The sequence below is a fragment of the Homo sapiens genome, chromosome 7 (genome assembly GCF_000001405.40).
Source record: "Homo sapiens chromosome 7, GRCh38.p14 Primary Assembly".
NCBI lineage: Eukaryota > Metazoa > Chordata > Mammalia > Primates > Hominidae > Homo > Homo sapiens.
The window spans coordinates 23,259,655-23,275,478 of NC_000007.14; the positions used below are offsets into that span (position 1 = coordinate 23,259,655).

At 42.0% G+C, this 15,824-nt stretch overlaps 1 protein-coding gene across 5 annotated transcripts in view, besides 1 other annotated feature; it reads left to right on the forward strand.

The window, feature by feature from the left end:
• Window positions 1-15,454, forward strand: part of GPNMB (glycoprotein nmb) — a 28,334-nt gene extending 12,880 nt beyond the window's left edge. For 2 of the 5 annotated variants that reach the window (NM_001005340.2, XM_047419776.1), the window contains 7 exons: window positions 326-484; window positions 802-1,119; window positions 6,827-6,961; window positions 8,232-8,334; window positions 10,313-10,521; window positions 13,867-13,960; window positions 14,411-15,454. In NM_001005340.2, the coding sequence (NP_001005340.1) occupies window positions 326-484; window positions 802-1,119; window positions 6,827-6,961; window positions 8,232-8,334; window positions 10,313-10,521; window positions 13,867-13,960; window positions 14,411-14,570 (1,178 nt within the window). In that variant the 3' untranslated portion in view covers window positions 14,571-15,454. Of the gene's footprint in view, window positions 1-325; window positions 485-801; window positions 1,120-6,826; window positions 6,962-8,231; window positions 8,335-10,312; window positions 10,522-13,866; window positions 13,961-14,399 lie in introns of all 5 variants that reach the window. The other 3 variants (XM_005249578.4, XM_017011678.3, NM_002510.3) reach the window with 3 other exon arrangements.
• Window positions 12,014-12,218: a silencer, noted in NCBI's record as "fragment chr7:23311287-23311491 (GRCh37/hg19 assembly coordinates)". NCBI's record gives its function as "represses an EF-1alpha promoter that drives an FKBP-Casp9 reporter gene in an ReSE screen in K562 erythroleukemia cells {active_cell/tissue: K562}" and the evidence as "EXISTENCE:reporter gene assay evidence [ECO:0000049][PMID:32094911]".
• Window positions 15,455-15,824: the final 370 nt, after the last annotated feature.

A 15,824-nucleotide genomic window follows, 5' to 3' on the forward strand; every position in this document is an offset into this window, starting at 1 on the left:
TGGGGAAAACATGTATTTCAAGTGCCAAATTACTTAGCACAAACAGCATTTATTTGTAAACTAAGGGCTAACTGTTTTATGCCACTAAACAGCTTTTTAAATTTTAACCAACTGTATACAATTACATGTATACAACTGTGGGTTTGTTTTATAAGATTTTACATTAAAATGAGCACCATCTCCCTTTCTGAAGCAGCACCACAGGCCCATCCTATTTTCCCTCCTCAGAGCAATCTATAAATGGTGGTAGCTAGTCTTTAAGGAACAGCTTCCTATAATGATGATATAATGCAGCCAATAACTAAAAATTTCCATCCTCCCAAAGGTCAGTATTTCCAGAAATTGGGACGATGTTCAGTGAGAGTTTCTGTGAACACAGCCAATGTGACACTTGGGCCTCAACTCATGGAAGTGACTGTCTACAGAAGACATGGACGGGCATATGTTCCCATCGCACAAGTGAAAGATGTGTACGTGGTAACAGGTGAGTGGTGTGAACTCTAACTGAGGATGAGGCACTTCATTCTGTTGACGTCAATGGGTTAAAAAAGAGGTAAGGCCAAGTGTTCGGGGTTAGGTTACAATGCATCTGGCCCACCTAAGCTTGTGTATTTAATTAGTTGTAGTTCATCTGTTTTCCAGAATAGCTTAGGGAAACCCCAGAAAACTTGCATGTGAAAAGGAAAATAATGCTAAATTATCCCTCATTTTAATATTTCAACCTAAAAGCATCGTCGAAGCCCTCCACTTACAATCAAGCAATCATGCATTCTTTATTTCTTTGGGGGATGTATCTTTTAGATCAGATTCCTGTGTTTGTGACTATGTTCCAGAAGAACGATCGAAATTCATCCGACGAAACCTTCCTCAAAGATCTCCCCATTATGTTTGATGTCCTGATTCATGATCCTAGCCACTTCCTCAATTATTCTACCATTAACTACAAGTGGAGCTTCGGGGATAATACTGGCCTGTTTGTTTCCACCAATCATACTGTGAATCACACGTATGTGCTCAATGGAACCTTCAGCCTTAACCTCACTGTGAAAGCTGCAGCACCAGGACCTTGTCCGCCACCGCCACCACCACCCAGACCTTCAAAACCCACCCCTTCTTTAGGTAAGGTTTCGCAGTGATCTTTGAGGGAGGCTCCTTAATGGCTAACAAAATATTCACGCAGGTCATATTATTAAATCCCTCCTTAAGGGGATATTGTAAGGACTCTGCGGTGATTCCATTTTCTACCTGTTGATTTTTTAAAGCAAAGTTATCACCATTTTACACCTATAGAACACAGAAGAAGGAAGAATGTATGTAAAGTCACTTTGCAAATAGAATTCAGTGACTTGTAGAAAGTTCTTTGACCCTCCTCATTTGCACTGGTCCCTGCTATGTGTACACACTCTCCCCTCTTCTAACCTGTCACATTTTTGTTTATCTCCCATTTTTTATGGCTATGAGAAGGCACACTGGCTCCTTATACGATCAGGTCATTTCTATGTTCCTTCCTCTCCCCCACTAATTTCTTTCCCTACCCTGCCCACACCTACCCAGTGTCCATGAAAACACAGCTGTACTTGAAAGCAATTTCCAAATGGTCCAAGAAAGAATGTAGCTTGAGAGTATGTCTGGGTTAGCAAGCTGCAGTGACTCCTGACATTAAAATTGTGCTGCATCGTATGTTTATTGCGGCACTATTCACAATAGCAAAGACTTGGAATGAACCCAAATGTCCATCAATGATAGACTGGATTAAGAAAATGTGGCACATATACACCATAGAATACTATGCAGTCATAAAAAAGGATGAGTTCATGTCCTTTGTAGGAACATGGATGAAGCTGGAAACCATCATTCTGAGCAAACTATCACAAGGACAGAAAACCAAACGCCGCATGTTCTCATTCACAGGTGGGAACTGAACAATGAGAACACTTGGACACAGGGCGGGGAACATCACACACCAGGGCCTGTCGGGGGGTAGGGGTAGGGAGGCGGGATGGCATTAACAGAAATACCTATTGTAAATGACGAGTTAATGGGTGCAGCACACCAACATGGCACATGTATACATATGTAACAAACCTGCACTTTGTGCACATGTACCCTAGAACTTAAAGTAAAATTTAAAAAAAAGAGAAAAATAAATAAAAATAAAACTGTGCTGCATTTAAGGCATGATTAATTCAATACCACCCTATATTAATAGTCTGGGGACATTCAAGAAGTCCTTAAGAGTCCACTTTGGGTAGCACTGGCTTCCATCTGATTCCCCACGCTACCCCATGCCATCACCACCCTTTTCCCACTGGGCCAGTTGCACTCAGCACCCCAGGATCCTGGGGATAGCAATAGGCTGACATCCTCTCACTGGTCACAAGAGGGCGCCAGGGACCAAGCCCACGACGGTCCATCATGACGTCTGGGGCTTCTTGTTTTTACAAAATCCTGTTTGTTATAAATTATAAAGTTTTACAATAAGATGTTAGTAATAAAATGAGAGCTTGTTAAATCAAGCATATCTAAGTCAAGACAACACAAGTTATCACTGATTTCGATTATCTCAAAAATGTTTTAAATTACAAAGTTTATGCATGTTCCTTAGTAAAAATTAAAACAATGTAGATGTCTAGAGTAAAAAGCAAAAGTCCCCACTCGTACTCTCCTCCCAAGAGTTAAACCCTGTTAATAATTGGGAGGATTTCTTTCCAGATATTTTTCTATGCATTTATAAACATATACTATATATACACATAAGGTTTGTTTTGGTTGTGTAAATGGGTTCATTTACACAAGAGGGCTATTCATATTGTTTTACAATTTGCTCTTTTTCTAATTTAACAAACATTATAGACATCTTTCCACTGTTAATACATATAAGTCTATCTCACTTTATCCAGTGGCTGCATAGTGTTTCATAGAATGTATGTACTGTCATTTATTTCACCATTCTCTTTTTTTTTTTTTTTTTTTTTTTTTTTTGAGACAGCGTCTTGCTCTAACACCCAGGCTGGAGTGCAGTGGCACAATCTTGGCTCACTGCAACCTCCACCTCCTGGACTCAAGTGATCCTTCTGCCTCAGCCTCCCAAGTGGCTGTGGCTACAGGCATACACAACCACACCCAGCTAATTTTTTTATTTTTTAGTAGAGATGGGGTTTCGCCGTGTTGCCCAGGCTGGTCTCCAACTCTTGAGCACAGGTGATCTACCCACCCCAGCCTTCCAAAGTGCTGGGATTATAAGCGTGAGGCACTGTGCCCGGCCCACCATTCTCTTATTGATGGATGATTAGATTAATCCTAATTCCAACTACAATTATAACTGTATTGAACAACTTTAAATATACAGCTTCATTCTAGTAATCCTTTAGGAGAAGCAATTTTTTTTATCTACAACTATTAATGATCTTCTTTACAAATAAGAGGACCAGGTATAAAATTCAAAATAAATTACAGATGCTTTTAATATTTAAGTTCCAGAATGGTAAAAGACTTAATGTTAGGTTGTTTAATGTTAGTCTACTTTGAATTGCATTTTTATTAAACTAGCTTGTTTTTCTTATAAACTATTTATATCATAGCATGTTTTAAAAATATATTTGAAGCCAATGAAAAGCTATTTAAAATTTCTGTTGTAATTTCTCCCTAGGTGACACCATAAGATATAAACTAGTGGGCCAGGCATGGTGGCTCACATCTGTAATCCCAGCACTTTGGGAGGCCGAGGCAGGTGGATCACCTGAGGTCAGGAGTTCGAGACCAGCCTGGTCAACATGGTGAAACCCCGTCTCTACCGAAAATATAAAAATTAGCCGGGTGTGGTGGAGAGTGTCTGTAATCCCAGCTACTTGGGAGGCTGAGGCAGAAGAATCGCTTGAACCTGGGAGGTGGAGGTTGCAGTGAGCCGAGATCGCGCCATTGCACTCCAGCCTGGGCGACAAGAGAGAAACTCTGTCTCAAAAAAAAAAAAAAAAAAAGATATAAACTAGCAACCCCTACAAGTTAGTTAAGTTTTATTGCGAAGGAAAGCTGCCTGGCTTTATCTAAAGGTGTTAGATCAATCATAATCAACCCCAAAATGCCTTAAACCAGCATCTCTCTTAGGGAGAGCGAGGAGGGACGTTTCTAAAAGGGGTCTCTTCTAGGGAGCATTTCCAGCTGTACAGGCCATATTAAAGGGCTTGGATGACCAAGTATTATATTATTGTTTGGCCAAAAAATATGTTCTCTCTGCTTTGGTAAGTGGCTTCTTAATAATGCACAGCCGAAAATAGAAATCAAATGCAAATGCAGGAGTGAGGCAGAAGCCAGTTGAAGAGGTGACCCAGGTAGATGTGTTTAAATCTGAGGGCAGATGCATGTGTGCTATTTTTAAGTCACGGAATTCTCTTCACTTAGCTAACAGTGCTATTATTTGTTTTTCAGACTTGTGAACAAATCTGAAAAAAAAAAAAAAAACCTTTTGTAAGACTGATGCTAATTACTGTAATACTCTCTCTATATATAAAATAACATCATATCATAGAGAACTTTCCCAGAGAATCAAGAGCTCTCACACCGTTCTCTGGGCAACAGGGACATAAATACCAAATTAAGGATGAAGTTGACCTTCTTTCTCATCTGTCTTTTAAGGTGTGCGTTTCTCTCCATTAGCCCTTGAATCATACCTTGACTTTATAGACACAATGTTTGCGAAGCTCCATATGCTTTTTTATTTTTATTTTTATTTTTTTTTTGAGATAGAGTCTTGCTCTGTTGCCCAGGCTGGAGTGCAGTAGTGCAATCTCAGCTCACTGCAACCTCTGCCTTCTGGGTTCAAGTAATTCTCCTGCTTCGGCCTCCCTAGTAGCCAGCACTACAGGCATGTGAACCACCATGCCCAGATAATTTTTCTTTATTTTTAATGGAGACTAGGTTCCACCATGTTGCCCAGGTTGGTCTCGAACTCCTGACCTCAAGTGATCCACCTACCTCAGCCTCCCAAAGTGCTGGGATTACAGGTGTGAGCCACCATGCCTGGCCTCCATATGCATTTTAAAAGCATTCTATCTAAGGTAGAATCACTGACTTTTATTATTTGGTCATTTTTTAAGAAAATAAGCTTTATTTCATTTTTAGCACTAAAGTATATGCAGAACAAGAGAAGTTTTATTTTAAAATATGCAGGGTCGTGATTCCATGCTCTAACTTGACAACTAAATTCTGCCTGTCAAGAACTTTCAAAAGAAGAAATTTTATGGTTTTCTGGAGAAGAGCTACTGAACTCGAATGGCCTGCACAAACAATCCTATTGCTGTAGAGTAGATCATCTGAATCTCAGGACAGACAGAACGACTGTCTTGTCATTTCCAGAGGACTAATATGAAACTCAAGGGACATTCCCAAGAGGCTGCCACAGTTCTTCCTGCTGGTAAACCACTGCATTCGATCTAACACAGTGTCTGGGCCTTTCTGGCCTTTACCTGAGCAGCATTTCCCAAAGTGTGTGCCATGGAGCAGTCATTTCTAGACCTGTTCTGAGAACTGCTCTGAGAAATCTGCTTTGGGCACAGGAAAATCACAGGGATGTTCACCCGCTGACGATTCTGAGAAGCCCTGGGGAAATCTCCCAGCCTGCTTCACTCACATGTCACTAAGTTAGAGATGCAGCTCTTATGAGGCTTTGATGTCCTTCCCCAAGACTGAGTCTACTTCACATGTCTTTTGAAATTAAAAAGAAGATTGTATTTTCAGTATCGTTATTTTCTTTCTAGATTTTTTATCTTGCTAAAGGAGCAGCGATGTCTTAATTAGAGCCTGTTAAATTGTAACTAATAGGGCATTAGATTCTTTGCTCTAATTATATTCAAGGCTTATTTTTCAAAAATGTCTTGTATTCCCTCCTTTCCTTCCTCACATCTCTGCTCATCACAGTAAGACTTTTAGAATTTAAGCTTTGGAGCTGTGAGACATCCAAACAGGGAAAGAATGATCTTTTCCCATATTACTGAAAGAAAGAAACTGTGATTTATTAAGTACTCCCTCTGCAGCAGTGATGAGCAGCAGGTTTTATATACTTTATCTCATTTAAGTTTCATAGTTCAGCCCCCAGAGGACAGCAGGTATTGTTCTTATTTTACAGATGAGCAAATAGAGGCAAAAACAGATTAAATGATGTGCCTGTGGTCTCAAACAGCTAAAAACAAGGGAAGCTGGAATTTGAGCCCAGAATACCTGCTTCCAAAATTAAAATATAACTGCATCTAGTATGGCCAGGTTTATTTCTTCATGACCATTGTATCACACATTTTAATACAGTTTCAACCTTTTTTTGAGACGGAGTCTCGCTCTGTCACCCAGGCTGGAGTACAGTGGCGCCATCTCGGCTCACTGCAAGCTCCGCCTCCCAGTTTCACGCCATTCTCCTGCCTCAGCCTCCTGAGTAGCTGGGACTACAGGCGCCCACCACCACACCTGGCTAATTTTTTGTATTTTTTAGTAGAGGCGGGGTTTCACCATGTTAGTCAGGATGGGCTCGATCTCCTGACCTCATGATCTGCCCCCCTCGGCCTCCCAAAGTGCTGGGATTACAGGCATGAGCCACTGCACCCGGCCAGTTTCAACGTCTTATTTGCTTCTTGTGTTCACACAAAATGTGGGATTATGCTTCCTTACATAATTTAGCAATTATAATACCTTATAGCTCTCACATCTGTGTAAATTATGACACATTTAGTTCAAATTTCTATAGCAATTTCATAGTATAGTGTTCCTGATATTTTTCTAAAAAGCAAATGGCAAATGTTTAGATTTTTTATTATATCACATGTATCTTTTATGTTCGTAGCAACTACTCTAAAATCTTATGATTCAAACACCCCAGGACCTGCTGGTGACAACCCCCTGGAGCTGAGTAGGATTCCTGATGAAAACTGCCAGATTAACAGATATGGCCACTTTCAAGCCACCATCACAATTGTAGGTAAGGCTGAAGATGATGACCAGTGAGGAAGGATGCTAGACTCCACCTAGGGTCACCCACTCTCTCTGCTAACTCTGAAGGGGTAGAGGTAGGTGGTAAGGGCACCCCTCTGCTTGTCTAAGATGACACCACACATGCAAGAGCAAAGACCCCATTCATTTCTAGATTCCCACCTGCCTCCCCGGCCTTCCTTCCACATCCTGGTGGAAACAAGCCTTCTGTGAAGGCCGCATGCTAATGAGCCTGCCCTGGGCCTGTATCCCGCCTCTGCAGCCCAGCCATCTGAATGGGGTATGTAGGGTAAAGGAAGGCTAGCATCGAGTTCCTACAACTTCCACTGTCTTCCCCTAGTTAATTTTCACAAAGTCAGACTTGTATGTGAAAAGGGGAAAGAGCAGGCCACCACACATGGCTGTGCATTTGGGCACAGCCCTAAGGCATACAACAGAGAAGACAGAGGGGAACTGAAGCCCAACCTGTGCTCACCAGTTCTGGGAGTGAGGATGGAGGTGGAAGCCCAAGCAGTGTCCCCTGAGTCCAAGCCACTTGAGAAGCTGGCCAAGGCCTGAGCCTGGGGCTGCGTCTACCCAGGATTACCTTTTCCTGAAACACTTTCCAAGATGGAGTGCTACTTTCTGATGCACACAAAGGCTCTAGGAACAAAAATCTAGGCTGGACTGAAAAACAGTTCAGTTTGACTTTGGAAATGCTGCATGGATATGTATCCTAAGCTATGGGGGTAGATTGCCAGATCTGATGTGTTTCTGTATGGCAAGAGGGCTGTCTTCCTTTTTTAATTTTTTTCACTTTCTGATGTCTTAAGAGCTGTACCTTAGTCCATTCAGGCTTCTATAACAGAATTCCATAGACTGGGTGGCTTATAAACCAACAGCAGGAATTTATTTCTCGTAGTTCTAAAGGCTGGGAAGTCCAAGTTCAAGGTACCAGCACATTCGGTGGCTGGTGAGGACTCACTTCCTGGTTCATAGATGGCAGATAGCAGTCTTCTTGCTGTGTCCTCATGTGGTGGAAGAGGCAAAAGGGCTCTCTGGGGTCACTTTCATAAGGGCATTAATCTCACACATGAAGGCTTCACCCTCATGACCTAACTACCTCCCAAAGACCCCCCTCCTAATGCTATCACCTTGGGGGTTTCAACATATGAATTTCGGAGGGACACAAACATTCAATCTATACCAGAGTGATTGTTTGGCTTTGTTTGATTTCTGTTGTATTTTGATGTGTTTTTCTCTGGGGGTTATTTTGTTAGAGGGAATCTTAGAGGTTAACATCATCCAGATGACAGACGTCCTGATGCCGGTGCCATGGCCTGAAAGCTCCCTAATAGACTTTGTCGTGACCTGCCAAGGGAGGTGAGTATATTATCTCCGACAGAGGCATGGGTGGGTCAACTGAGGACCTCAAGTCTGAACAAAGGCATTGACCACCAGTTACCCCTTTTAAGTTGATTTGAATTCCTATTGATTTGAATTCCTATTTACTGGTAACCCTAGACAGGAAGGTCCCTAGGAGGTGCTATCAAGCACACACATGTTTTGCTACAGTTGAGCAATTGAGAAAGCTTTAACAATTAAGTTGAATAATAATTATGATAACTGTTTGAACACTTAACTGAATTTTTTAACACCTTATACCTGTTCTCATATTGAATCCTCACAACAATCGTATGAGCCTCCCCATTTTGCAGATGAGGCAACTGAGGCCACCAGTGATCACAAAACTTGCCTACCAATGGAATGCTGGTGGCCAGGAGAGAGCAGCTCACAGGAGTGCTCTTAAGCTCCCAGGTAGTTGTCTATGCTAACATTAATAGCAACGCCTGATAATCCTCTCTCTTTAGAATTTACAAAGCTCTTTCCAATGCATTATATAATTTGGTTTCCTATGATTTGGTCATGACCATATGTAATAAACTAAATATAAATGAATGAATATATAAATACTATATCGATTAACTAAATATACATTAGCAAATCATTTGCATATAATATATAAATTACCTGATTAAAATATATGTGTGTGTAGATACATAAATTAATCAGGAGAATGAAGTGGTATGAAGATGTGGCCTTATTTGGTAGAAGAGAAGAGCTAAGAAGCTCTCCACCTTGGGGAGAGGACCAGAATGAGGGTGAGGGTGGCAGAAAACAGTGAAAGCTGACCCAGGGAGTGAAGCTGCTGCGAGAGGCCTGGCTGGTGAGAAGGGGGACTGTCCCCATCCCAGGCCCCGCCCCATGAGTCCAGCATCAGAGCCTGGTCTCTCCATCTAAGAAGGCTGCCATGAGATAGCGGTCAGGACAGCAATGGCAGGTAGCCCAGCATCAAGGACAGATGAGTCAAACCTCTTCTGTTCAAGTCCCAGCTCCACCCCTGGCTGCTTGTATGACCTGGACTCGTTAATCTCTCTCCCTGATTTGTCATCTGTTAAACTGGGGTAATGTTACTTTCTTCAAAAAGCTATTGAGAGAGGCTGGGTGCTGTGGCTCATACCTGTAATTTCAGCACTTTGGGAGGCTGAGGCGGTTGATCACCTGAAGTCAGGAGTTTGAGACCAGCCTGGCCAACATGGTGAAACCCCATCTCTACTAAAAATACAAAAATTAGCCAGGAGTGGTGGCAGGTGCCTGTAATCCCAGCTACTCGGGAGGCTGAAGCAGGAGAATCTCTTGAACCTAGGAGGCAGAGGTTGCAGTGAGCCAAGATCATGCCATTGCACTCCAGCCTGGGCAACAAGAGCAAAACTCTGTCTCAAAACAAACAAACAAACAAAAAAACTATTGAGAGGAATAAGCAAGATCATGTCATATATCTAAAACTCACTCAGAACAAAGGTCTCTGAGGAAAGATAAATAAATAAATAAAATTCAGTGCCCGGCACATAATAAGTCCTGCAAAAACAGCTGCTGCTGTTGCTGTTACACTTCTACAGGAACCTAGGCAGGGCCAACTATGGCATCTAATAATATGTCTGCCTAACACCCAAGCTATCTGCATCTTCGAACATTCTAGGGATGTAGAAGGAATATAGAGGGAGTGAGCTGGGCTTCACGTGGTTTCCATCAGCCCCTTCCCCTGGGGGAGATCTTTTTTTTCTCCTCCACCCCAGGGCCTCACTTTCCTGAGGATGCAGAGAAAGGCATAGCTCAGCGCACAGGCTTGCTTAAGAGCAGATTATAAGACTAACAATTCAGCATCTTATAGTTTGAGTAACAATGAGGTGGAATTCAATTTCATAGAAATGTAATGACTTTCCCTTTGTAAAATGGATCTGACCTTCCTCTCTCCCCTTCTCTGTGCCCTGTGCGCCCTCGCCCACCTCCCCTGTCGCAGCATTCCCACGGAGGTCTGTACCATCATTTCTGACCCCACCTGCGAGATCACCCAGAACACAGTCTGCAGCCCTGTGGATGTGGATGAGATGTGTCTGCTGACTGTGAGACGAACCTTCAATGGGTCTGGGACGTACTGTGTGAACCTCACCCTGGGGGATGACACAAGCCTGGCTCTCACGAGCACCCTGATTTCTGTTCCTGACAGAGGTGAGTTTTGTTTTATGGCCATATGAGCATTTCATACTGCAAGTAAAGTGTGTATCCCATACTAAAGCTATTTAGGCCTTTGTTTTCAATGTTTAATTCTATTTCAGTACAAAATTCATTGAACTCTTATTAATAAGGATCTGAGGACTGGCATTACAATCCAACAGCAAATCTACTTAGGGAAGTGATGAGACATCTGGTGAAATAGTGGCCAAAGAAAAGCCTTTTGATGAAAAAAAATCAGCTGTGATCATGGACCAGTAACAATGGGATATGATCACTGCACGCTTGAATAGATTTGTATTTCAAGGAGAAAGTTTAAAGGCCAATATCAAAAAATAGCAGTGTTCTCCAATGAAACAACAACAAAGGAGAGGCTGATATCACATTTTCATGAAAATCCACCTGAGCAAAGATATGAAGCCTGGAAGAGAAATGAGACACAAGCTGTTCTCCTTGGTCCCTTCTAACTTACCATGCATCCTCTCTTTCCCTTCCCAAACTCTACCGAGCATTACAGAACACAGTAAGAAACCAACTTATTATTCCTCACATGTTCACCAGAAAAACTACTCTCTTCCCTCTGAATGCTTGGAAAGGTACAATGTTAACAAAGAAGACAAAGGAATTTCATTTAGAAATTTGCATTTACTGGTAGCATCCAACTTCCCCCAACCTCCAAATTAGGGCTCTACCCTAATGGCCCTAGCTGACTGTCACTGATAATCAACTTTGTTGTAAGATATTACTTGTGGCTTAGAAGAAGTGCTACGTGGTAGGATGAAAGGGAAAGACTAAGTTGTGTACATATTACAGCAGCAGTCCCCAACCTTTCTGACATCAGGGACCTGTTTTGTGGAAGACAGTTTTTCCGTGTAACGGGGATGGTGGGGGATGGTTTCGGGATGAAACTGTTCTACCTCAGATCATCAGGCATTAGTTAGAGTCTCATAAGGAGCATGCAACCTAGCTCTCTCGCATGTGCAGTTCACAATAAGGTTTGCACTCCTATGAGAATGTAATGTTGCCACTGAGATGACAGGAGGCAGAGCTTGGGCGATAATGCTCAGTCGTTTGCTGCTCACCTCCTGCTGTGTGGCCCAGTTCCTAACAGACTGAGGACCCGTACCAGTACTGGCCATCGGTCTGGGGGTGGGGGACCCCTGCGTTAAAGCACTTACTTCACTCCTTAATTGGAGTATTGTCAGGTACAATCTAATAGCTCATTCACTTATAACTCCTTTGAACTTGAAGCCTATCTCATAAGGTAATATGTTCTTAAACATGTATTTCCAGCTACAAAAACAAACAAACAAACAAACAAAAACACATATTTCCAGCTGGGCGCGGTGGCTCACGCCTGTAATCCCAGCACTTTGGGAGGCCAAGGTGGGCAGATCACTTGAGATCAGGAGTTCCAGGCCAGCCTGGCCAACATAGTGAAACCCCATCTCTACTAAAAATACAAAAATTAGCCAGGCATGGTGGTGGGCGCCTGTAGTCCCAGCTACTCGGGAGGCTGAGGTAGGAGAATAATTTGAACCCTGGAGGCAGAGGTTGCAGTGAGCTGAGATGAAGACACTGCACTCCAGCCTGGCCAACAGAGTGAGACTCCATCTCAAACAAACAAACACAACAAAAAAAACTAAAAAAAAAATTTTCTCATTAATAATATAAATGGCAGTTTTAATCCCATTAAAAGAAGAGATTTAATCCCATTAAAAGAAAATAATCATACATCTAATTATTTGCGTGAGGGCTTATTGTTGGTGATATCCAAGGTGCAGATTTAAAAGCAAAACCAACGATGCAAGGGTGCCCTGCTTCCTGCCCAGGAAGGTGGATCAGGGCCTGGGTGGAGAGCCGGGGAGGGTGGGAACTGGAGAAGGGAGCCAAAACCTCTGCATCCAAGTGGCCATGGACTCGGATGCAGTCACCATCAGAAGCTGCTAATGTTATTCCTTCAGTGCTGCCACAGCTCAAAGTTTGTTTAGAATTACCTTTAGAGTCTTAATTCATTCTATTAAGCTTCCTCTGCACTGGCAAACCACTGATCTCTTATGTGAATTAGATGTTTTAGACATTTGCTTTCCTTTAATTCTTCTTGTAGTGAGTGATAACTTTAGGTGGGACCTGAGTCATTTTCAAAAGCCAAATAAAGAAAGCTCAGAATGCCAGGCACAGTGGAACATACCTGTAGTCCCAGCTACTCAGGAGGCTGGGGCGGGAGGATCCCTTGAGCCCAGAAGTCCAGCCTGGGCAGCACAGCAAAACCCTGTCTGAAAGAGAGAGAGAGAGAAAGAGAGAGAAAAAGAGAGAGAGAAAGAGAGAGAGAGTGAGAAAGAGAAAATGAATGCTCAGAAGGAAAGGTTTTAATTCAGTGGGGATTGCAGCTTAATAGCTTGGGTTTCAAAGGCAGAATTTCAGAAATAGATCATTCTTCAAAGCAAACCTATAGACTTTAGTTGAAGTGACTTTTATGTATCGATTCAATGGATATTCATGAAGCACCTGCAATTCTTTCAACAAATATCCCTGAGCATCTACTCCATGCTCAGCACAGTTCTAGGCAGAAGATACAGTTCTAGATCGAGTAGAAACCAAGACAAAGAAGTCCCTGCTTCTGTGAGCAGTGACAGATGTTACATGGAAAACTTTAAAGGTGGTGATCTTTTTTTTTTTTTTTGAGGCAAGGTCTTGCTCTGTCACCCAGGCTGCAGTGCAGTAGGGTAATCATGGCTCACTGCAGCCTCGACCTCCCGGGCTCAAGCAATCCTTGACTTCTGCCTCCTGAGTAGCTGGCACCACAGGCATGCGCCACCATGCCAGGCTAATTTTTTAATTTTTTGTAGAGCTGGGGTCTCACTATGTTGCCTCTGCCTCCCAAAGTGCTGGTATTACAGGCATGAGCCGGGGAAGGGCACTCCTGTAAGGGGGCACGGAGGTCTGAAAGAGCACGGGGAGTATGGCCAACTTTCAGGATTTTTAGCACAGCTAGAAGGTAAGTAGAGAGAGAGGAAGCTGGAGGCACGGCCGCCTGATCACAGGAGCCCTTCCACACGGTGGCGCTGCTGGGTCACCCAAGACCTGAGCAGGTGTCTCCAGGACGTGACATCTCTCCCCCGCGCCCTTACCACAGTGTTCCAGACATGCTGACTCATTCTCTAAATAGAAGATAAGCTGACCCAAAGACTATGTATTATTTAATAGAAAAGATTACTGAAAGCCCAGAGGGAGCCATATATCTTCTGTGACGGCTCCCTTCCTCATTTATTTAATGGCATTATAAGCGGCATGTCCTCTAGGTGGAAGACATAACTAACATGCTCTTGCTTCTGTTTTAAGACCCAGCCTCGCCTTTAAGGATGGCAAACAGTGCCCTGATCTCCGTTGGCTGCTTGGCCATATTTGTCACTGTGATCTCCCTCTTGGTGTACAAGTAAGTTTTTGGTTCCTACGCTTTATATCACTATAGTGTATTGTCAAAAGTGAATATATCTCTGTGTAAATAGGCATTTTTCCCTTTTTTGCTTTTAAACATTTTGTGTAGGGGAGGAAAATATTACATTGAATGGTGAATACCAAACTGGCCTGTTAATCTTGTTGTGGTTTGTTTTTAATCCTAAAAGATGCTACCAGATCTCAGTAACTTTACAAAATTATGTCAACTTAATTTTAACATGATAGTCTCAAATTATAGTAAGCAGGCACATTTCTTGCATGAACAAGAGTAAATAAATGTACTTTCATAAGACACCAGTGTCTTGCAAACTGTCAATCATGTTAAATGGAATGAATCCTTTTATACCTGGCATGAAAAAGATTGTAGAAAGTTGTATATTTCAACTGAAGATCTTTTAAAAATAACTAACCAACAGATTGTTTTCAGAAAACACAAGGAATACAACCCAATAGAAAATAGTCCTGGGAATGTGGTCAGAAGCAAAGGCCTGAGTGTCTTTCTCAACCGTGCAAAAGCCGTGTTCTTCCCGGGAAACCAGGAAAAGGATCCGCTACTCAAAAACCAAGAATTTAAAGGAGTTTCTTAAATTTCGACCTTGTTTCTGAAGCTCACTTTTCAGTGCCATTGATGTGAGATGTGCTGGAGTGGCTATTAACCTTTTTTTCCTAAAGATTATTGTTAAATAGATATTGTGGTTTGGGGAAGTTGAATTTTTTATAGGTTAAATGTCATTTTAGAGATGGGGAGAGGGATTATACTGCAGGCAGCTTCAGCCATGTTGTGAAACTGATAAAAGCAACTTAGCAAGGCTTCTTTTCATTATTTTTTATGTTTCACTTATAAAGTCTTAGGTAACTAGTAGGATAGAAACACTGTGTCCCGAGAGTAAGGAGAGAAGCTACTATTGATTAGAGCCTAACCCAGGTTAACTGCAAGAAGAGGCGGGATACTTTCAGCTTTCCATGTAACTGTATGCATAAAGCCAATGTAGTCCAGTTTCTAAGATCATGTTCCAAGCTAACTGAATCCCACTTCAATACACACTCATGAACTCCTGATGGAACAATAACAGGCCCAAGCCTGTGGTATGATGTGCACACTTGCTAGACTCAGAAAAAATACTACTCTCATAAATGGGTGGGAGTATTTTGGTGACAACCTACTTTGCTTGGCTGAGTGAAGGAATGATATTCATATATTCATTTATTCCATGGACATTTAGTTAGTGCTTTTTATATACCAGGCATGATGCTGAGTGACACTCTTGTGTATATTTCCAAATTTTTGTACAGTCGCTGCACATATTTGAAATCATATATTAAGACTTTCCAAAGATGAGGTCCCTGGTTTTTCATGGCAACTTGATCAGTAAGGATTTCACCTCTGTTTGTAACTAAAACCATCTACTATATGTTAGACATGACATTCTTTTTCTCTCCTTCCTGAAAAATAAAGTGTGGGAAGAGACAAGACCTTGGTATTGTAATTATTTTTCTGATTCATCATTTGCTTTTCAATTTCACTTACAGTTGTTTCTTTTTTTTAGATGAGGGTCTCCCTATATTGTCCAAGCTGGTCTCAGACTCCTGGCCTCAAAGGATCCTCCTGCCTCAGCATCCCAAAGCGCTGGGATTACAGGAGTAAGCCACTGTACCCAGCCTCAATTTCATTTATAGTTTTTGACAAGTAAAAAGTTGTTTAACAATGTCTCATAGAGCATTGATAATCTCATAAATATTTTTTACCTAACTACATATATATATATATATATATATATATATATATATATATATATATATATATATGGCTGAGCACAGTGGCTCACACCTATAATCCCAGC